Below are 24081 nucleotides of genomic sequence, written 5' to 3' on the forward strand. Positions count from 1 at the left end.
CCCAAGAAACATGAAAAAATGCTTATCATCACTAATCACCAGAGAAGTGCAAATCAAAACCACAATGAGATACCATCTCATACCAGTCAGAATGGCTATGATTAGAAAGTCAAAAAATAACATAGGCTGGCAAGGTTCAGAGAAAAGGGAGCGCTTATGCACGATTGCTTGGTTTGCAAATTTGTTCAGCCACTGTGGAAAACAGTGAGAAATCTTGGAGATTTCTCAAAGAACTGAAAATAGAATTATCATTCAACCCAGCAATCCCATTACTGGATATATACCCAAAGGAAAATAAATTGTTTTATCAGAAAGACACCTGCACTCACACGTTCATTGCAGCGCTATTCATAATAGCAAAGACAAGGAATCAACCTAGGTGACCATCAATGATGGATTGGATGAAGAAAATGTGGTATATATACACCATGGAATATTATGCAGCCATAAGAAAGAACAAAATCATGTTCTGTAGCATAATGGATGCACCTGGAGGCCGTTATCCTAAGCAAATTAACACAGAAGCAACCAAATACCGCGTGTTCTCACTTATAAGTGTGAGCTAACCATTGGGTACACATGGACATAAAATTGGGAACAGTAGATACTGGGAGCTCCAAAGGGGACAGGGAAGGAGGGAGGTAAGGGTTGAAAAACTACCTGTCAGGTACTGTGTTCACTACTTGGGTGATGGGTTCAATTGAAGCCCAATCCTCAACATCATGCAATATATCCAGGTAACAAACCTGCATGTGTAACCCCTGAATCTAAAATCTGAAAAAAAGATTCTCTTTTATGATCCAGGTATTTTTAGAATAGAATAAGAGACTGGACGGTAGCATCCTATAAAAACTGGTTAATATAAGTTGGCATAACCCAAGCTTGCATTTAATCTTTGCACATAGCTTTTCCAGTTAGTCAAATTTGAACTGTAAATAAGAGAAAAATACCAACTTGTCTTAGGTGGTTCAGGCTGTCATAACAAAGTGTCAAAAACTGGGTGGTTCATAAACAAAAACAGTTTATTTCTCATAGTTCTGGAGGCTAAGAGTCCAAGATCAGGTGCCAGCATGATCAGGTTCTGGAGAGGGCTCTCTTCCAGCTTACAGATGGCAAACTTCTTCTAGTACCCTCATGTGACAGAAAGAGGGAGAAAGAGCTTTCTGGGATCTCCTTTATAAGAGCCCGAATCCCACCCTATGACCTAATCACCTCCTAATACCATCATCTTGGGGTTAGGATTTTGATATGAATTTTGAGGGGGATACATTCAGTACCTTGGATAGTCCTTTGTAGCCCAGTCAGTGTGCTATAAGAAACACATCCTGTGTTGAAACCTAGTATATACGTAGAGATATAAATAATACATATAACAGAAATAAAGGTTTCATGAAACAGTACTTAGCCATACCACATGAAATGTCCTCTGTTATTTTCTGTTGTGTTCCCTCCCAACTCCAACTTCCACCATACACTGGTCATGAGCCACTGAATTGACTTTACTCCCTACTGAAGGGCAGAGACCTGCAATTTATTTAGAAAGCATGAGTGCAATCTGCCATCCCCCTGGCACTGCCTATGATGTGTGTCAGCCTAGAGGTGTGCATTTACTGAGGAGCTGACAGGACTCCACATATAGTGCTCTGTCCACTCCTATGAAACCACAGAAAGTTGTGAGTTTAAAACCCCCTAAAGACTCCCCTTGCAAAGTTTTATCAAGAAGGCATAGTAAAACTTGGAGAGTAGACATATGATAGAACTTTGAGTTGGACAAAAGTGACTCAGATGGCTGCCTTGTCTGTCATAAAACATATGTAAGCTTCAATCATCAAACATGGCCTTTAACCTGGGAAATGTCTGTATTTTTTCCTATAGTGCTCACCCTAAAGTTCACACTAATTTATTTTAGTAAGAACCTAAATACTGTAAGGAAAACAATCTCTGACTTTAAAAATATGTGAAGAATAAAGAATAATTTGACGGTGTAGTTTTTTTCTTCCTGAAATTCCTTCAGACATTAAGCCTGCTCATTTTCATTGGCCACTGAAGCACAAAATTGAAGGGGCTCAAAATAGGGAACCCTTGGCTATGCAGAACCTTTGGGCAGGCTGTTTTACTTCTAGAAAACATTTCCTGATTGCTTGCTCCTTTAACTGCCAGCAATTATTATGGCCAAGTTTTGTATAGAAAATTTTCCCAGCATTGTCTCATCTGTCCCTGATTCTTTAAAAGATTATACAGAACAGAGTGTGTCTTTTATGCTACTGTAAAGTGATAGATTTAGTATTCATTCAGGAATGCAAGGCTCTTTGCCCCTAAACCAAATGGCCCTACTTTGCTGTCTTCTAAAATCTTGTCTGCTTTTTCTTGATAATTTTTTTTTTGGCCCTACTTCTGTGGCTCTCAGCAGTGAGCCCCTTCACTCATTGTTGGCTATTGAAAGTCCATTGTGATTTTGGGAACCAGATAACCATACTGTCTGAAATGTGTTTGCCAGATAGAGTCATATTATCCATTGAAACTGAAATTTTAAAAAAGGATCAAAAGTAGTATTTGAGGGAGGTCTTCAAGAGTTCTACTGGTAAAGCAAGCAAGCTTTAGTTCTTTCTTGTTCGCTTCATTCATTAGCCAATAGCATGTTTTCTTCTGCCCTGTTTTTGGGTTGTTCAGATAAAGTGATACCTTTTCAGGCTGTGATAGGCATGCTTTCTTTTTTCTTTCTTTTTGTAACATATTGATAATGTGTTTACTATATTATGGTCTAAAGCAGGATTTCATAGACTTTTTCATTTAAGTTAAACATAGTGGCAATTGATGAGTATTTTGGTAACAGCTTTATTTGCAATGCTTTATGCCTTTAAAGGTTATAGATTACTGCATTTCTCTTTTCCTTGGAGAAACTGCATAGCAAAGTTCCCCAGATTTTCCTGATTTCCATCTTCCATTGGAAAACAAGTTCAATATCCACAATAAAACAAGGAAGCTGAATACTGAAAAATTAACTTATTTTTAAGGAGTGATGTGAACCAGACTGTTCTGAGGTTTACGACTGCATTGTATGGGAACAAAAAGAAGCAACGGTGTCATTGCTGTGGCAAGCTGTATTTAAATGATGCCCTTTTATTTTTTTCAAGATGTGTTGTTCAGACTCAGTTGTGAAGATTATGGAAACTGAAACAAATGGGAAATCAGTCTCTCCTGCTAAGGGTTAAGAGAGAAACACGACTTTTGTTTACATTTGTTTATAGGAAACAGAATGGAAATTCAGCTTTTAAGATGTCTGTACAGTTGGGCTTCATTATTTAGTTTAGCAGTTTCTCAGAAACTCCCTCTCCTACATGACAATTTATAATGCAAACATGATGCATCATTTCATTTTGTGTAAACTTTATAGAAGGAATAGTCTTTTCCACATATGTCAAAAGACTTCTGGAAGCATTTTAGAACTGAATGCTAAGTATCCTACACATGTGCCTGGAAGCTTTAGAAATGATCAGCAGCAGCACTTTCTGACCTTACATTTTTGTTTGTTTCTTCATTTGTCCGCCTCCTTACTGAAAGGTAAAGTTTCACAAGAGCAGGAACTTTGTTCTGTTTACTACACTGTCTCCAGCACCTAGAACAGTGTCCAGCACAAAGACAGCCTGTATTATTATCATTGTTGAATGAACTCATTCTTAAGCTATAAAAACAAATTCTTAAGCTGTAACCGTTTTTCCCTTGACTTCTGAGCTCCCCCTTCCTTTACAAAATTTCAGTAGCCTAGCATCTAGCCTTGCCACTGCTTCAAGTTCCTTCCCCGAGGAGCAGCCTTGTTTGTTGCCAGATTACAGTCTTTCTTCTGTCTCTTGCTTTTTGCACCTTTAAAAGTCTAGACCAATTTAATAACCCCACGCCCCATGGTCTCTTTGCTACTCAGCTGATTTTTTGATCCCAACTCTTACCTCTTTGAACAAACTCTATACTTGCAGCTGTGCAGTCACCTTTTAAAAATTCAGTCCACCTCCCTTCCCAAATACTGTTTTTATCAAACACACCCTCATTTTTTTTTTAACCCACCTTTGAAATTTTAGCACTCTTTTTACTTTGGTCATCTCTGTCTCTGTGCAGCTACCAATTTTTTAAAAATGTTCTCTTCTATTCTCACTTCTGTCTCCAGATACGTCTCTTACCTGGGCTGGTGTAGAAACTTCCCAAATAACTTCCATACCTCCCTATCTACCCGCTTTAAGCAATTGTAATACTGTCTCTTACCTGGGCTGGTGTAGAAACTTCCCAAATAACTTCCATACCTCCCTATCTACCCGCTTTAAGCAATTGTAATACCTGCTGCTAGAGAATGATTTTGTCACTGCCGTGGCAGGAAATCCTTAGATCCTTTACCGTGTCTGAAATCTGAAATGCTTTGGTTTGGGTACATTCTGGCCCTAGTTGACTGTTGATCATTGTCATCATCATTGTTGTCATTGTCATAGCTGTATAACAGTGATAGCAGCTACCATTTCTTAAACTCTTACTTTATACCAGGCATAACACGTATGAAGCATGACATCATGAAGCTTGTTAGTGCATTTTGGAGCTGTATAATGTGATAATGGGTAGGGTGGCTGTGGGTGGAATAAGATAGGGCTGGAGAGGTGTATCGGGCCAGACCATCGACATCTTGTCAGCTGTGCTAAGGAGTTTGAACATTTCTTCTACAGGCAATGAGGCAACAACTAGAAGAGTTTGATGGAGAAGTGATGAGGTCATATTTTGTTTCATAATGGCAACATGAGCAATAGTTTAGGGGATGAATTAGAAGGGTAAGAGACTGGAGATAGGGAGACTAATCACAGAAGAGATGAAAAGGACCTGAAGTAATGTAGTGTGGATAGGGAAGAGTGAGTAGATTTGATATTCAAGAGGGAGAATTTCTAGGACTTGATGACCACCTGGATATGAGTTTTGGGGAATGGTAGTAGTAGATGATTCTCTGGCTTTTGGCTTGAGTGACTGGAGAGATTGGGGAATGATGCTCAACTGAGAGAGAATACCAGGTAGAGGCATCGTACATATGGTAGCAGAGGCAGGAGGGCTGTGATGATGAGTCCTATTTTGGACATGCATTTGAGATACCTGGGGGCTATCCAGGTAGGATGTGGCTGTAAGATCAATCCATGATGGAGACACTGGCTGTGTTGTGGTCATATCATCTGGGCTGTGGGAGAGCATGAGATCGAATGAGATTGAGATACAGGACATGAAGGTGGAGAGTCTAAAGAGAAGCTGTGTGTAAGTGTGGAAGAGGCCATGATGAAGACACAGTATTATGAGCTCTTGCCAGCAATTAAAACCATGAGACTAAATGAAATGTTCCTGAAATTGTGTAAGAAGAAGACAGAAGATCACTTGTTGATCTTCACTTGCAATTTCATTTCCCTGTAGCGTGGCTCATTCCGTTGTTTTCTTTTCTCTGTTTAAGGAAATGGCATCAGATTTTCATGATAGCATGTACAGCCTACTGTTTCGGAAGACCTCTCTGAGCCCACTGATCCCCACTCTGCCTCCCTAGAAGTGATTTCTCAGGCACACATTCTCTTTGGTCCTCTTGCTCCTGTGACTCTTTGGGAACTTTCCCTAGAGGCTTCTGTTTCATTTGTTCTCTGCTTATCTCTCCAAGCAGATTCGAGTCCTGACAGCAGGGATCATATCTTTGCCTGCTTTGTCTCCCCCAACCAAAACCTAACAGCTCTTTCTTTATTTTTTATTTTTATTTTTTGAGATGGAGTCTCCCTCTGTCACCCAGGCTGGAGTGCAGTGGTGCGATTTTGGCTCACTGCAACTTCACCTCCCGGGTTCAAGCGATTTTCTGGCCTCAGCCTTCTGAGTAGCTGGGATTACAGGTGCCTGCCTCCGCGCCAGGCTAATTTTTGTATTTTTAGTAGAGTCGGGGTTTCATCATGCTGGCCATGGTTGGCCAGGCTGGTCTCGAACTCCTGACCTCAAGTGTTCCGCCCGCCTCGGCCTCCCAGAGTGCTGGGATTACAGGTGTGAGCCACCGCACCCGGCCCTTAACAGCTCTTTCTATACTCTAGCTGCTCCTGCTACTTTTTTTTTCCCTTTTTCCTCTTTGGAGGCTCATTTGCTGACCATATTGTTGTTATTTTTATTTCATTTATTATAATTATTAATTAATTTTATTTATTACCATGTATGTATTTATTTATTATTAGTATATCATATAATATATAATAGTTGTAGATATGTTTGGGGTACTTGTGATATTTTGATACCTGTATGCACTGTGTAATGATCAAATCAGGGTAATGAGGATATCACCTCAAACATTTTTCATTGTGTTGGGAACATTATAATTCTTCTAGCTATTTGAAATATACAATAAATTATCATTAACTATAATTTCCCTACTGTACTATAAAATACTAGAACTTTTCCCATCTATCTGTGTTTTTGTATCCTTAACCAATTTCTCTTCATCCCCTCGTCTCCCCTACCCTTCACAGCCTCTCATAACTATCATTTTATTCTCTACCTCCATGAAATCCACATTTTTAGCTCCCACATACGAGTGAGAACATGGAATATTTGTCTTTCTGTGCCTAGCTTATTTCAGGTAACATAATGACTTCCGGTTTCCACCATGTTGCTACAAATGACAGGATCTCGTTCTTTTCTGTAGCTGAATAATATTCCTCTGTGTGTGTGTGTGTGTGTGAGAGAGAGAGAGAGAGAGGGAGAGAGAGAGAGAGACGTTTTCTTTGTGCATTCATCCACTGATGGACACTTACATTGATTCTATGTGTTGACTATTGTGAATAAATGCTGTAGTAAACAGGGGAGTGCAGATATCTCTTTGATATACTGATTTTCTTTCTTTTGGATATATACCTAACAGTGGGATTGCTGGATCAAATGGTAGTCCTATTTTTTTTTTCTTTTGAGGAACTTACATCGTTTTCCGTAATGGCTGTACATCTTTACATTCCCACCAATAGTATACAAATATTGCCCTTTCTCTACATCCTCTCCAGCATTTGTTACTTTTTGATTTTTTTTGGTAATAGCCATTCTTACTGGGGTGAGATGTTATCCCGTTGTGGTTTTGATTTGCATCTCCCTGATGATTAGTGATGTTGAGCATTTTTTCATATACCTGTTAGCCATTTGTATGTCTTCTTTTGAGAAATGTCTATTCAGGTCTTTTGCCCATTTTTTAATTGAAGTATTTGGTTTTTTTTTTTTTTTTTTTTTTGCTATTGAGTTGTTTGAGTTTCTTATGTATTCTGGTTATTAATCCCTTGTCAAATGGATAAATGGATAGTTTGCAAATATTTTCTCCCATTCTTTAGGTTGTCTCTTCACTTTGTTGATTGTTTCCTTTGCTGTGCAGAAGCTTTTCAGCTTGATGCAATCTCATTTGTCTATTAATATTTTGTTTTTGTTGCCTGTGCTTTTGGGTCTTACCCAAAAAATTATTGCCCAGACAAATATCTTATAAGATTTTCCCAAAATTTTTTTCAGTAGTTTCATAGTTTTAGGCCTTACATTTAAGTCTTTAATGCATTTTGAGTTGATTTTTGTATATGGTAAAAGATAGGTATCTAGTTTTATTCTTCTGCATATGGATATCCAGTTTTCCCAGCACTATTTATTAAAGAAACTGTCCTTTCCCCAGTGTATGTTCTTGGTGCCTTTGTTGAAAATGGGTTGGCTGCAAGTGTGTGGATTGATTTCTGAGTTCCGTAGGTCTATGTGTCTGTGTTTTTTTTGGGTTTTTTTTTTTTTGTTTTTTGTTTTAGCCAGTACCATGCTGTTTTGATTACTCTAGCTTTGTAGTATAATTTGAGATTAGGTAGTGTGATGCCTTCAGCTTGGTTCTTTTTGCTCAACATTTCTTTAGCTATTTTCAGTCTTTTGTGGTTTTATACAGATTTTAGGATTGTTTTTTCTATTTCTGTGAAGAATGTAATTGCTATTTTGGTAGAGATTGCATTGAATCTACTCCGTATAGCGATGTGCAGATTCAATTGTTAAATTGATATACAGATTTAATTGTTAAAATGATAAGCATTTTAACAATATTCTTCCAATCTCTGAGCATGAGACATCTTTTCATTTTTTGTGTCCTCTTCAATTTCTTTCATCAATGTTGTATAGTTTTCCTTGCAGAAACCTTTCACTTATTTGGTTGAGTTTATTACTAGGTTTTTTTTTGTAGTTATTGTAAGTGGGGTTGCTTTCTTGATTTCTTTTTCGATTTGATCACTGTTCACATATAAAAACTCTGATGACTTTTGTATGTTTATTTTGAACGTAACCCTTGAAAGTGGGTATGCTTGTCTTGTTCCAGATCTTAGTGGAAAGGCTTTCAATTTTCCTTCTACTACTTTTTATTGATTATTTTTATTCTCCTCTAGAAGAATAAAGAAACAAAGTGAACAACTCAAATTTTGTACAGGTTTATATCAGTTGATGTACCTCAAACTAAAAGTGCCTGCTTAAAATGTGTTTTTGGCTGAATGTTCTATTTCTGACTTAAAAAAAAAGTGAATTAGCAAGAAGATCTACAACACCCAGTGCAGAATTATTGTCATTTATCATTCTCACTATTTTAAACTCTATAGAAGAAGAATATGTCTTTTGGCAGTTCCACTACACCTACTATAGCTTCTCCTGAGCAGAGTTTATCTCCTGGTCTCATTGGTCAAACTTCCTGTGTTTTAAAATGGCATTTTGCATACACTTGCACAAGTTGAATTTGGATGCAGTGAGAGCCCTTATCCAAGAAACACGGATTCTGTCTGACTCATCCGGCCTCTCTGCTAACACTTTGGTGCGCCCTGGTCAAGTGACTTGACCCTATTTGTGCATTTTTTCTTTTTCTCATCTATGGAATGAAAATCTAGCCACTGGCTCCTGACCTCATTCAAAGACATGTTGTGAGGCCAAATGAACTGAGGACCTTTGAGGTCCTTAGAACAAAAGCATTGCACACATTAGAGAATTTATTTTGTAAGAATTGCAGAAAGAGATCAGGCTCAGGGTAGCCACCATTATAGCCCACGAGTAAGCAAATATGAGCCAAGAGGTCCCCATAAAGGAGAATTCTCTCCCATCACTAAGGCCAAAGATAGGAGTGGGACACTGCTAAAGTCTGATTAGAGTTCCAGAATTTAAACATCACCTTCAGCATGGATGAGGAGAGCAGCATGGATGAGGAGAGTGGCATGCTTTTATCTTTAAAAAGAGACGAACCCTGAATGTGGACGTTTATTGAAGAAAGCAAAACTCATACTTACTTGTTAAAGAAAAATAATGTTAGTGAACTGCAAATAATTCATGTGAGAGGGTCCAAACTAGGACATAATTCTCTTAAGTATTAAATAAGTTTATTGCTTATTCCGTTTAGTTTGTATGGTATGTGGTAGCCAACTTATCGTATCTTCTGAGTGCCTAATGCTCTGCCTTGCATACAAGGATGATTAGTGTTTTACTTGGTGCTGCCCATTTAGATGTAATATGAGAAGCTCCTAGAAGTCACCCAGAAAACACTTTTAACACCTATGGAATCTTTCAGTTTGTTTGACTTTAACTGGACATTTCTCAAATGCTAATGAAAATCTTATTTAATAATAGAAGTATTTAAACTAAAAGGGTGTGATTGGATTGTTTGTAACACAAAGAAAGGATAAATGCTTGAGGTGATAGATATCCCATTTACCTTGATGTGATTATTATACATCATATGCCTGTATCAAAATAATCTCATGCGCCCCATAAATATATACACCTTCTATGTACCAATGAAAATTACAAATTAAAAAAATTGAAATGATTATAGTCTGATGACCTATACCAAGTGACAGAGGAATCTGACTGGAATTACCTGGCCAAAAATGAGGGAAACTCATAGAGTATAACACCATTGGCATAAGTGTCACAAAATTGGATCTGTACTCATGACATTGGATTTATAATAAGAGCCCCAAATCTTAATTCTTTAGTTAGGCTGGCAGTGAATAGAGTGGCACAATCATAATCATACAGGTGCCGTTTCTCAGTTTTCTGCTTTTAGAATCAGATTGTGGACTAAGCATGGCAGACTTGGTTATGATTGCAGGCTACAGTACAAATATTAGCAACCTCAACAAAAGAAAAAGTGTAGTTGGCAGGAGGTGGGATGTGGCATCAGGGAGGAGAGGGTGCTAATATCCTCATTTCTTAAAATAGCAAGATAAGCTATAGCTGTTAAAAGTTGCTGGAATTCCACAGTGGTTGTGCCATCTTGCATTCTCATATGAGAGTTTCCGTTGCTTCAACTTTTTATGAACACATGGTATGATCGTTCTTTTGAATTTAGATATTCAAATAGTTGTGTCCTGGTGGCTCATTGTAGCTTTAAATTGCATTTCCGTGACGGCTAATCATGTTGAGCATCTTTTCATGTGCCTATTTGCCATTCTTATATGATTTTTGGTAAGGTGCTAAACTCTTGTATTGATTCTAGTAAAGTTGTTGTTTTTTTTTTTAGCACACATATTTTTTATATAGACAATCATGTTGTCTATGAATGAAGATAGTTTTACCTCAGAACAGGTGTTGGCGAAAACAAAAATGAAGACTTTAGTACTTAACGTTGCAAATAAATTAAACAGAAGAATTAGAAGAATATATTAAACTTCAAGAGGAGGCCAGGGCAGTGTGAGGAGAATCCTTGATATGGGTCAAGACCTAGAGATTCAAGCATGGTATCAACAGTTGTAAAGATAACTATCAAGAGACTAAAACAAAATTTGAAGAACAGTTACCTTGGGAGAATGAAACTAGTGGCAGGGATAGGAAAAGCAAGAGTTGATCACTCTCACGAAGTCTTCTATCTGGTTTAATTTATTGCCTTGCACATACGTTTCCCTGAAAAAAGTAAATTATTGGCATATTGGTAATTAGGACATAAAGATAAAAACAATATGAAGTAATTATAATAGGTAGAGGGTAAGACTGAATAATATAAAATAAAGAATATGGGGAAGTGGTCTATGTTTAGAGTTATATAAAGAAAGGAGGGGTCCTGAAATGACAGTCAGTGCTGATAAACGCCTGACACTTACTTAGGCTCTTGCTGCATTCTAGGTACTTTCTAAACAATAAACATGTGACACTTGTTTAATAATCACAGCAACCATGGAGTGGATACTATTATCACCATTTAATAGAGGAGGTAAGGAGACGTAGAAGCACTGATACTAAGTATGTTATTTGAGTTGACACAGTCAGGTTTCAGAGCCAGCTGGCCCAGCCCCAGAGCCGTCTCTCTACCCTACAAAACTGCAGTGTGTCTCATGGAAGGAAGGTAGGTGTGATACCCCACAGTACAGACAGTGGGTGCTCCTTCATCCTAATTAAACTTGGCTTGTTCTCTGAGGCCATCCCCTAAAGAGATACTTAACTTTAGTTCATTCATGATTCAGCAAATATTTGAGTGCCTATTAACACAGCTCTAGGTACTAGGACTATTCCTTTCCCCAGTCAGTGGCAAAGAAAAATAAGTGCATTATTTGATACAAGATGCTATGGGGAAAATAAGGCAAGATAAGGAGTAGAATGATGGTAGTGGTGGTGGTGAGGTGTTATTTTAGAAAGGAAGGTGAGAGAAGTCCTCTCTAAAGAGCTGGCACATGAATATTGTCTTTGCCCATTCTGGCTGCTATTACAAAATACTGTAGATTGAGTGATCAAGTAGCTTAAACAACGAACATTTATTTCACACAGTTCTGAAGGCTGGGAAGTCCAAGATCAAGGTGCTGACAGATCCAGTGTCTGGTGAGGGCTCACTTTATGGTTTACAGATGGCCATCTTCTCGTTGCATCCTCACATGCAGACAGCAGAGAGGAAGTGAGCTCTCTATGTCTCTTTTATGAGGGCACTAATCCCATTCATGAGGACTCCACCCTCATGACCTCATTATTCCCCATAGGCCCCACCTCGTAATACCATCATATTGGGGGTATGGATTCCAATATATGAATTTATGTGGGGGAGGGGGGCACAAACATTCAGTTCATAACAGATGAAGACCTAAATGAAGTAGAGAAACAAACTGCAGATATGGGGAAAACATTCCAAGTAGAAGGGATGAATAGTAAATGCCAAGTCCTGAGGCACAGCTTGTTTGGCCCACTTGAGATACTGGGGGAAACCTGAATGGCCAAAGCTGAGAGAAGTAGCAGAAGGGGAATACTTGGGACCAAGACAAGTAGAGCTTTATGAACCAGATAATGACTTTGGATTTTGTTCTTAGTGTGATGAGAAGCCATTAGAGGGTTGAGTGAAGGGAAAGGATATCCAACGAGAACCTCCTGCCCTGTGTCTCATGAAGAGGCAGTATTTCAAGAAGAGGCTTAAAGCTGAGAGTGTTTTGCTAATCAGTGAAGATGTGACTAATGAGCTGCTGGGGAAGTCAAGCCTTCTGTAAGTGAAAGTGTTTGCATTCATTGTACTCATAGGTACCTTCCCTAATGGTGATTGTGAGCCAGGACACTAGTTAAATTGTAGCTACTTAGAAGTGGTAATTCATGGCACACTTAATGATTTCTTCCTATGTTTAATGACATTAATATGTTCAATCATCATTTAAAAATTATCTTTCTTAGCTCTAAAGTAATAATTGCAAGAAATGCATTAGGGTACTGGTATATGGGGGTTGCATAGGGAGAAAGAAGGAATTTTGAAGAAAGGTTTAACAAGAATTTAAAATATTTAGATGAATGGAGATATTTATATCCAAATATATTCATGTTCTTATAATATCCTTCTTATAAGAACTTTTCAAATTCTTCTACTTGAAATATATAATTTTTAAATCACTGATTATTGAAGAGTAGGAGTAAACTCTTGCTTTCTGTTACCTAGGGCAAAGCATATCTTGGTTCATTTCTGGGAGATAGAAAAAAGCTCTAGTCTAATTGATTTTTCCAGAATAGAAAAGGAAAATAATTTCTTAACATGTTCAACTGTATTAAAATTTATATTAAAACCAATATAACTAAGATTATCTAAAAGGCAGTGAGAAAGGGAACATATCTATATCTATACACACATAATGGTCAGTATCCCGAATATGTAAGGTATGTGTATAATTATACAAGAACTAACCTTTATTTGGATAAATGGCCAAAGGTTAGGTACTATCATTTTTATACATGAAAAGGACCAACATAGACAAAAGTAATCATCCATAGTAATAGTAAAAGCAATACAATCTGAAGTAACTGAGTCTTAAGAAATAAAATGATAAGTTACAATGTTGGCATGGCTGTGTAGAATTTGGTATTTGTAGATTTTTGTTAGCTTTCAAATTAGTATATACTTCCTAAAGGGTACCAACAATATTTAACAAAAGCCATTTCATTGAATATACCCTTAGATCCAGTAATTTCCCTTTTCAAGGGAAAATAAGTCAAAGGAGAAAAAAAAAAATCTTGTTAGAACAACATTCATTATAGTCATGAAAGGCTAAAAATGACTTCGATATCTAACATTTGGGGAAATGATTAAACAAACCATAATAATTCATAACAATAGAATATTACTTGCAGATAGAATATTATGGAGAAGTCTGTGTGAAATTAAGTGAAAAAAGAGACATAATGTTGTGAAAGACTGTTTATAAGCAAGTACACTGATCAGGATGAAAAAGCATAGAATGGTTACATACAATTTGCATTGATGATTTTGTTTACCTTTTAATTGTGTATTTGGCTGCATATGAATATGGCATGAAGAACAGAAGAAAATATAATTCACTTAAAGGAGGTATATCATAGGATATAGAAAATAATATCCAGGGTCAACAAGATTTGGAGCACCTGATACGAACAGCCAGGAAATGGGATGCCAATGAGGGTCTACTCTATGCTTCCAATGAAAGTGAGGATGGAGTAATTGAAGAAATACTCCTCAAGACTAATTGAAACTAACATTCATTCCCAAAAAGTAAGCCATGTCAGCAGATGAGATTTATTTTTGGATTAAAAAATAACTTCACAGAAACTTTTAGATCTGTTATCGCGGCCCATATCCAGTTACAACATTAAATTTTTTTCTATATAGAAACAGATTTCTAAATTCTTAACAGATATCACACTTTGAGTAATGTCATATACAAGTAAATTGCAGAAAAGCAGAGAATTTCAGCCAACAGAAGTCACTGTAGTGGACTTTGACCTGGACTTTGTTGTGAAATAAAACTCTTGAGCTTGTCACACCAAGTTGTATTGGAATGGGACAATAAATTCCAAAGATTCATTGAGTCCTTAAAATGGGTGGGTAGGCTTTATGTATATGCTGGGTACAAATTCAAATCGACTAGGTTGGAAACAAGAAAAGGATGAATGGATTTCATGATTGTTTTGAATTTAGAATTTTGAATACAGTTATCCAATATTTCTTCTCCCCTCTTTTCATGAGAAAGGATTACCCTGAAATGGGGCCAGGCAGGCCACTGGTTTCCTTGAAGTCTTAGTTGAAATATGCTTCTTCAATCATTAACCAGTAAACAGATATGACTTCCATAATCTTCACTGTCAAGGAAAGTTACCTTTAGCACATGCCTGTGGATCCCTTTCAATATGTGTGATAATTTTGGTTTCAAGGGTCATGTGTTATGGTCAAGTGCTGCTTCAGAATCTTAGAGGCTGTTCTAGAACGCTTGATGTCTAAAGCTTGCCATGTTTCAATTTAACATCAGTTTGTGAATATCTGTTGTGCCAATATGATTTCTGGTATCCCTGATGTCTGGATAGGACGTATATATTTTGTGGGGAAAACAGAAGAGGTGAAGCTAACACTGCATTGTGTACACTGGACAGGATCAGTGATGATCCAGTTCCTTTGTCTTCCCAGCAAAGAACAGCCTCTGAAATGAGGCTGATGTTGACCACTTCCATAGATTATTGAGAGGGTTAACCGAGATAAAGGAATATGGGTGGCAGGAACTAAGTAAATGCTACTTCCTTTCACTTTTTATGTGCAAAGTATTTTGAAAGGTGCGGAGGGCAAAGGGGCTAACGTTTTAGACTGAGTGGGTGGTTGGGGAGGCAATCGCAAAAACAAATGTGTGATCCTTGCTGTCAGGGAATTTGCAACAGGTTGGAGGAGCCAGGCAAACACACTCAATTAGGGGAAGATAATGCAATTAAAAGAAAGGTGGTAAAAGTACTGAATGTGGCTGGAGTTAGACAGCCTTAGGATTGCAAATTAAGCCTTTGAGGTTAGTGCATGTGATGGTTTGTATAACCCAAATTTGAAGAAAGGCTGGTACACAGGGCAAATGCATACTAGGAAAATACTCTGAGAGACAGTCACACACTTTAAAAAGTGATAAAATGTTGTAATTATACTGTTTACTTTTGAAAACTGCCTATTGTTCACTTCACTGTATTTCAGGAAGCATTTTATAATAAGCAAACTGCAACCCTTTTTTAATGTTTGTGGAAGGAGGTGTGGGAAGTAATGGCGTTGACTCTCAGCCACTTCTGGCTGGTCTCTGTCTTCGAGGGATTCCTGAGCCTCCACCGAAGCACCATGGGTGGGGCTGCTGTGAACTAGTCACGAGCTAGATTTGCTTGCTAGCCACTCCTGAAATTCTTACTGTGATGTTGGAATAGGGAGGTGGAGGAAATAAGTGTTTTATTTATACCTCTCCTTTGGGACTTACCACCTTTCAAGGTGTAGTTTCAGTTATTTGCAGGTGTGTCTTATCTTCCCTGTTGGATTGTAAATTGCTTGCGGGAGGAAGGGTCTCTCGTTTATTTTTCAATAAACAAAATGTTGTCAAAAGGAATTCCCTTTACTCCAAAGTCTTGCTGATTGAATTACATGGATCTTTTTTGTTGTTGTTTATTTAATAGCACTATTCAAGAGTATCTGAAACTATATCAGTATTCATTTAGTCTTTGGCATATTTGGGATTCAAAGGAAATTCATTCTCTTCCCACGTCTAACTTGTACTCTCCCGGTGTTAGGGATCAACCACAGCATGTTTTAGAGTCTTCATCTATATCCCTCTGGAAATTCAGAACTTTGACCACCTACTGTTTGTGCAGAGGAGATCAGAGGAGGCACTTGTCTCACATCTGATAGCTAAACCAGATACGTGGGTCTGGTAAACAGAAGCAGGTGGAACCCAAAAGAAGACAAATTGACACATCTAACAAATGTAAGAAGGCCATTGTTTTCCCTGGGCATGGCTTTTTGGGAGAGCTCAGAGTTAAGTAGCAGTTGACATGACAGAAATGGCAAGAACACAGTGGAGTAGAAAGGTCTGCTGTCCCTGAGGCAAAGCCGGGTAATTCTTTCTTGGAAAGAGTGGGCATTACAATTGATTACTGGCACAGTGGGCAGGCATCCATGAAAAGCTCATAATCCGTTGCTGGTGATGTGGAGGTGGGTTGGGGGGGGGGCGGCGCGGTGGGAGATGATGATGATGATGACGACGACGATGATGTGGTTGGAACCTGTACCAATTTTGATGCTTTGCACATCCATTGAATTTTGGTGCCCTCTTCCTCATAGCAGAAGGGAAAGTTATTTGATCTAGGTGTGGGCCGCAAGGTGATTGTAAATGCTCATGTACTTGTGTAGTTGAATTGGTGGTAACTTATTTTTAGAAGTCCTCTAAGAAGCCAACCATCCAACCACAAAATTTCCAGTGGGAAATGAGAAGCAGATTGCTGAAGAGAACCTTGCTGCTTGCCGTCTGTACACATGCAGTATGGCACTAGGTGCTGGTTATTCCTCCAGTACAATGGTTAATCTCTTGCCTGTTCCACCAAAGCGTGTGAGCCAGGCTGGCATTGGGCTCCAAACTGCAGAGCCTTGCATATTTCGTTTTTCTCTGTTTGTTCATTTTGTGTCTACCAGTCTAACTGGTTGACGTGTGAAGCAGTGTGAAGAATGAGGGCTAACCGCAGTGCTTCCCAAAGAATTTTTAAAATTGCTCTTTCCCTTGAATCCTATTGTTTATACTATGCACAAACTCTGTGTGACATTTAGATTTGGGGGAGAACAATTGAATAAAATTTTTCTCAGTCAGTTTGAGGTCACAGACCAAGGGTTTTTCTCTTTTCTTCTGAGATCCCCACTTATTGAAATACTTAGACTCTTTTTTTTTTTTTTTTTTTTTTTTTTTTTTGAGATGGAGTCTTGCTTATTCGCCCAGGCTGGAGTGCAGTGGCGTGATCTCAGCTCACTGTAACCTCCGCCTCCCGGGTTCAGGCAATTCTCCTGCGTCAGCCACCCAAGTAGCTGGGACTACAGGTGCAGGCTACCATGCCCAGCTAATTTTTGTATTTTTAGTTGAGACGGGGTTTCACCATGTTGGCCAGGCTGGTCTCGATCTCTTGACCTTGTGATCCACCCGCTTCGGCCTCCCAACGTGCTGGGATTACAGGCGTGAGCCACTGTGCCCGGCAATACTTAGACTCTTTAAAGGATCATTTAACTAGTATATTTATTAGGAGGCAGTAGAATGTATTGTGGTGATTAAGAGCTTGAATTTGGGCTGAAATTCTGGCTCTGCAACTTCCATGCAACCCCACGAAAGTCACTTAGCTACTTTATTCTTCAGCATTTTCAGCTATAAAATGGGGGTAATTATATTCCTACCTCATTGACTTATTGTTAAAAACTCAATGTTAAGTACTCAAATTCTTGCTAATATTTATTGGACAATTTGATTGATCAAGGCACAAAGTATATACAGAAAAGTAGATGAAGTTCACCCCATTAAAGAGTTTACTACAGTGTTGTTGAGGAAATACGCATGTGAGACACAACCAACTGCCTGGGAACTCAAAGTGAGACAGGTTTTATTAGAGTTCAGAGGAGAGAAAGATCACTCCTATGTAGGAGGCACACAGAATTAATAAAGCTAGAAGAAACAATAGAAAGGGAAAGATGTCTTAACTGGGAGGGAAGGACCATAAGAACAAAGGCTCAAAGCTACGTCCAACATATCTCTACTGCTTTGTTGAGTGGTTGACCAGTGAAGACTGCTGGTAGCAGGCAGATGGGTCCAGAATGTATAAAATGGACTGGATATAGAAGATCCTCCTCCTTTTTCTCTCTACTTATTTTTCCTCTAATGTGATGACTGCTACCTGCTCCCATGACATTTTGCTCAAATGGTCTTGAAACTCACAAGGATAAGAATGTCCCTCCAGTCTATACAAAAGGGAGAAACAGGATTGATAAGGAAGGAAGAACATGCTTATCTATAAATCCACAATCTGATGGAGGAACTATTCTGCAGAACATTTGGTGAGGTTAAAAGAAAAAGGAAAGCAGCCCATCATTTGATTGTTGTAGGAACCTTCTACTAGCCAAACAGATGGAGGCTGAGGCTGATCTGTTGATACTGGGCAAATGGCAAAACTGGAAAAGGCAATAGGAGGTGACCATCTCAGCTTCTGCTGGCTGAGTAATTGGGCTAAAAACAACCTAGTGCCTTTCGGCCTATTTTTGTCACTTTTCAGAATACAACAAATAAATTGCTATATTGGATTTAACACCAACCATTAAGAAAGAATGACTTTATGGCATGGAAGATGGAGGAGCCTTTGATGACAGTGGTCCTGATCTCTTGGAAGTTTTTTTTAACAAACTTTTTATATGAGAACATGTTTAGATTTAGAGCACTATTACAAATGTAGTGAGAGAATTCTTATATACCCCATACCAGTTTCCCCTATCTTTATCTTATATTAGTATATACATTTGCCACAATTCATTAACTAATTTTGATATACTACTGTTAATACTTTATTCAGATTTGCTGTTTTCCCCTAGTGTCTTTTTTTTTTTTTTTTTTTTTTTTTTTTGGTGGTTGTTCTTGTTCCAGGATCCCATCTGGAATACCACGTTATATTTGTCATTAGATTTGTCATGTCTACTTAGGCTCCTCTGGGTTATAAGTTGACCTCCTCTTGATCTCAGCTCACTGAAACCTCTGACTCCCGGGTTCAAGCTATTCTTGTGCCTTAGCCTCCCAAGTAGCTGGGATTACAGGCATGTGCTACCACGCCCAGCTAATGTTTTGTATTTTTAGTAGAGATGGCGTTTAGCCATGTTGGCCGAGCTGGTCTCGAACTCCTGGACTCAAGTGATCCGCTTGCCTCAGCCTCCCAAAGTGCTGGGATTACAGGCATGAGCCACTGTGCCCGGCCACAAATAGATATTTTAAATATGACAATAATACATGCTTTGGAGAAAGGTAAAGCAGGATAAGGGAGTAGGGGGTTCTGAGGTGGAATGATGGGACTGTTACTTATATACAGCAGTTGAAGAAAGCCCCATTGCTAAGGTGGCATTTGAGCAGAGACAGGGAGGAAGCAAGGGAATGAGCCATGCGCATACCACTAGGAAGAGTATTTCAGGCAGAGGGAGCAAACAGTGCAAAAGCCTGAAGCAGGAGTGGCTTGGAACACTCCAGGAACAGCAGGTTGGTCCATGAGCCTGGAGCAGGGTCAGCCAGGTAATGAGATGGAGTGAGTGAGGACAAACACAAATTTGGGCAGGTGGTGTCTGGGATGGAATCACGGAAAGCGCATGTGAGTGGCTGTCGTGGGAGCTGTGTACTGCTGTGGAGTTGGGCTATAGAGGTCCTTGTGGGGACTTGGTCTTTTTCTTTGAGGAGAGAGGAGCTATTGGAGGCTTTTGAGCAGAGGAATAGGGTCATCTGATTTCATATTTGAAAAGGACCACTCTGGTCACTCTGAATGTTGCAGAAGTAGAAAGACCAGTTAAAAAGTCTTTTACTCTACTAGTATATTTTATCTTAATCTATTAATCTTGATCTATTTGTATGCATATTTCACATGTAGTAATTGTGTACATACAGTTTTGCCATCTGTGTATTTTAACATTTTTTTTCTGTTGCTCTGTAGTCCTCAGGTTTATAACATTCAGTGGCTGCATAATAGTTTGTGTATTAGTCTCCTACTGCTGCTGTAAAAACTTACCACAAATGGAATGGCATAAAAGGATACAAATTTATTATCTCACAGTTCTGGAGGTCAGAGTCCTAAAATCAAGGTGTTGGCAGAGCTGCACTCCTTCTGGAGGCTCCAGGGAGAATCCATTTCCTTGCTTCTTCCATCTTTTAGAATCCACCCTCACTCCTTGACTCATGGCCTCTCACTCCATCTTTAAAGCCAGCAGCATCTTCAAACCTCACCTCTGCTTCAGTCACCACTTCTCCTATTCTGAACCTCCTGTCTCCCACTTCTACACACTTTTGTTATTACTTTGGGTGCATTTGGATAATCTCCCCATTTTGAGGCACTTAATTTAATTACATCTCGAAGATTCCTTTTACCATGTAAAGTAGTATATTCACAAGTTCTGGGGATTAGGATGTGGACATCTTTGGGGACATTATTCAGCCTACCACAGCTGATGTTTTGTAGTTTACTTAACCATTCCCATTGTTGAATACTTAGAAGGCATCCAGTTTGGGGCCATTTTGATATTCCTATACTTCCTATAATTATATACTTTGACCTTCTTTTCTTTCAGATTGTGTCTCTTAAGATAAATATCCAAGTTTAGGTTTCCTGGAACAAAGAGCATGAACATCTTATGTATTTGCTTCCAAATACAGTTAAATTATTGGTAAATATATAAGGATGTCAGTTTCCCTACAACGTCACCAGGTTTGCTTTCTGTCAATTAAAGGTGTGTTTCCAGTTTGTTACAAAATGACATTTTATTGGTGTGTTTATTTTATTTCCTTGCTGGCTAGGTTGAACCTTTTTGGAGTGTGCATGGCGGCATATGTCATTTGTATTTTGAGAATAGTGTTATGTTTATTTTGCTTTTTAGTTGTATCTGGAGCTAGAAGAATGGGGACAGGATTAGACTATTGCTTAAGTAAGGGCATAAGGCTAGCATGAATAGATGATGTATGCAGAACTATGTTGCTTTCAATTCTCCATCAAAGGAAGTGATTTCCAAAATTAAAAGGGTGTTACTAAAAGGGATTTGGATGACAATGAAAGAAAATCCAGGTAATTTGAATGCATTTACCTCTCTGGGGCACACTGGATTGTATCTCAGGGTTAGCAGGGTTGAAGGAGTTAGCAGGCATCATCTTTGAGCCATTGCTGGTGATTGTTGAGTGAACTTGGAGAGTGGCAGAGGTTCCAGAAGACCAGAGATATGCAAATGTTGTTCTATATAGCTTTTGACAAAGTTGAATTCCTAAAACTTTCAATGTGTGAAATGCACCCTTGCAAAATTTCTGAACTATCATCATATAAATTATTTAGGAGTCCAGAGAAGAGATTGCATTGATCCTTAGGAACCAGCATAAATCTACTAATGCGTAGTGACCAATTGTCACATTTTCTTTTATAAAAGGGGCTTCTATATTGGAAGATAATGCCAAAGACATCAAAGCATTTGACAAATATCTCTCACCGGTCTCCTTACGCACATAATAGAGAGATGTTGGAGGATGACAGAATAATGCAATAAATTCATAGCTGATTCTATTCATATGCCATAACATAGGTAATGACTGAGTGTTCGTCAGCCTAGAAAGAGGTTTCTAGTGGCAGGTATTTAGGGTTTTCTTGGCCCCAAACTGAAGCAGGATCCTTAGAACTTGGATAGAGATCTGAAAAATTCATATGTATGTGGCTGATGATGTAAACCTATAGAATAAATCTTCATAATATGAACTATGAAAATAGGCCAACACCAACTAGGTACATTTAACAGAAATAATGAGAACTTCTAAAATTGAGGTTGTATTTATAATTGAAACAACAGTTGATTTTCTTTATTTTTGGCCGTCTTGAATTTCACCAATTAAAAACAGTAACACTTGTATAGTGAAAATGACTTTTTAAGGTTAATTCATGTATGGTAGGAGAATGCTGGGTCCACCTACATATGGTTGCTATGAGAGCATGCTATAATAAAGAATTGCTGGACTGAGAGGAAAAGATGTGAGTACTGTTCCTGTCACCACCATAAACTAGTTGTCATCTTGGGCCAGCAGTTGGCATCACCTTCCTTGGATCTGCGTATTCTCATCTGAAAGCTGGAGATGACAAGGGGTGGGGTGAAGTTAGTCACTTTGCTCCATTCCGGCTGTCATGTGATATGAGGCAGTACAACTTGATTCTCATGTTCCTTGGCGAGTTTGGCCAAATTTCTAGACTTTTAAATGGACCCTTCCACATATTTCTAGCTTAAACAGACCCTTTCAGGCCCTCTCTGAGAAGGGGCCCCTTTTCTTTTAATCTGCAAGTTCCTTCAGATCACCCTTCTTCAGGATCATATTAAACTATCCACATTTTCAACGCTTCAATCCAAGTTTCAAACAGTGTACTTGAGCCCACTTTGATCTCAGGAAGGCCAACATTTTTTTTTTCTTCTTTTTGGGCTCAGGCCCATGCCTCAACATTTCTGGATGAGCCTATACCCTCTTCTTCACCGGCCAAAAAAGTTCTCCATGGCTTTACCATGGGGTCCAGCCTTCAGTTTCTTCATTCTCCGTCAGCCGACCCTGAACAATCCTGGCCACCGTTGGCATTTGATCATCGACTGTTTCTCTAGCTTCCTCCCCAGCACCACTATTTTGATTCTGCTGTAATCTTTATGACCATTTAATTTTGAATTTTTAAACTTCATATTTTATTTTCCTATTTCATATCTTCACATTATCATTTGTAAAGGAGTTTAAAATATTTCATGTGCCTCGATTTACTCTTGCATAGTCTGATTTTCCCCTCTTATCAGTCCTCAAATATCATCAACTCTTTGTTTTCTGCTCTTATGGGACGCAACATTTGTACATCTTCATACAATCTAGCCTTTGGCTTCTTTTGTCTATATACTTAGATTAACCTCTCAGAGTTGGAGATCTTTGACTGAGGGATATAGTAGTATAGTTCTTGATCCATTTTGGGTACCTTTATTTTGACTGACAAAGACAAGAGGCCACGTTAGCACATTATATTCTTTCCTTAAAACTTTAAAATATTTAAGAAGGCAGCATTTATATTTAAACATAAATTTCAGCCTCCTTCTTGGGGCTTCCCTTAATACCAAAGTAATTTTGGTTGGAGGAATGTTTTGCAGGCTGTGATATCTCAGATTGCAACACTTCTCAGCCTGCTGTTTCCTGTGCTTCTCCTCCAGCTCCTTCCACTGAGAATTCTCCCCAGGCAGCATTTTCACGCTTTCAGTGCTCATTTCAGGCACTCTCTGCTCTGCTGTGCCTATGCATGCTTGAGGCTTTGCCCTAAACTCATGTGACCTGCATAGCTAATTTCAGGTTCTCAGTCTAGGCTTACTACTGCTGAACCCAAGAGACTGATGTATTGCCCAGACTCCTGCACGCTGTCTGCCAGCCACAGGTACATTCTGGGGTCATGTATTATGCTCCTGGTTAGCACATTGGGCAGGGAACAAGCTACCCATTGTGGCTGTGACCAGGTATAGAGTCTCTGCTTATCTGAAAAACAGTTCTTTGACCTCACTACCTGTGGCCATTCCTTCCTGCTACTGTGTCCTTGATCAGCCAGCTCCCCACCCTTTGCCTAGAAAGCATTCCCAATCCCTACCAGTAAGATAAAGGGAGCAAAACAGAAAGCCAGTTCTGTGTGGCCCAAGGCTCTGCTATATATGTGTTTGCATCCAGTGTCTGAATTTTCTCCCTGAAGAAATGGAAGATCTTGGGACGGATCTTTTGGTAAGATTTAGATGTTGCGTAGCTCCTAACAAGGCTGTATAAATAGAAGTACTTAAAGCCTTTAGGACATGGACACTCTCAGAAAGTGTTTTTAGTTTATCTGATTTCTATACATGTTTTTGGGCTGACTAAATGTTAAGTAGTTCTAATACAGTATGATACAATGGGTCTCTACAGTCTCTTGGGTTCAGTGGAAGTTAAGTGGCTGTTACATGTGTAGTTCACAACAGTAGAAGACAGAAATAACCTGTGTCTTCTCCATAATCACAGAGATACCTCGCATAAGGACTAAGGTGCCTTTTAATACATTTTTATC

At 38.8% G+C, this 24081-nt stretch overlaps 1 protein-coding gene across 12 annotated transcripts in view; it reads left to right on the plus strand.

The window, feature by feature from the left end:
• PIP5K1B (phosphatidylinositol-4-phosphate 5-kinase type 1 beta) overlaps nt 1-24081 on the plus strand; it is a 303937-nt gene that overhangs the window by 11223 nt on the left and 268633 nt on the right. For 2 of the 12 annotated variants that reach the window (XM_017015189.2, XM_047423951.1), the window contains exon 2: nt 12303-12472. The exons of 9 other annotated variants lie outside the window; for them this stretch is intronic. The gene's annotated coding sequence lies outside the window, so the exon portion shown is untranslated. Of the gene's footprint in view, nt 1-12302; nt 12473-18883; nt 23766-24081 lie in introns of those variants that run through there. One more of the 12 variants, XM_011519082.3, reaches the window with a different exon arrangement.

The sequence above is a fragment of the Homo sapiens genome, chromosome 9 (genome assembly GCF_000001405.40).
Source record: "Homo sapiens chromosome 9, GRCh38.p14 Primary Assembly".
NCBI classification, from domain to species: Eukaryota; Metazoa; Chordata; class Mammalia; order Primates; family Hominidae; genus Homo; species Homo sapiens.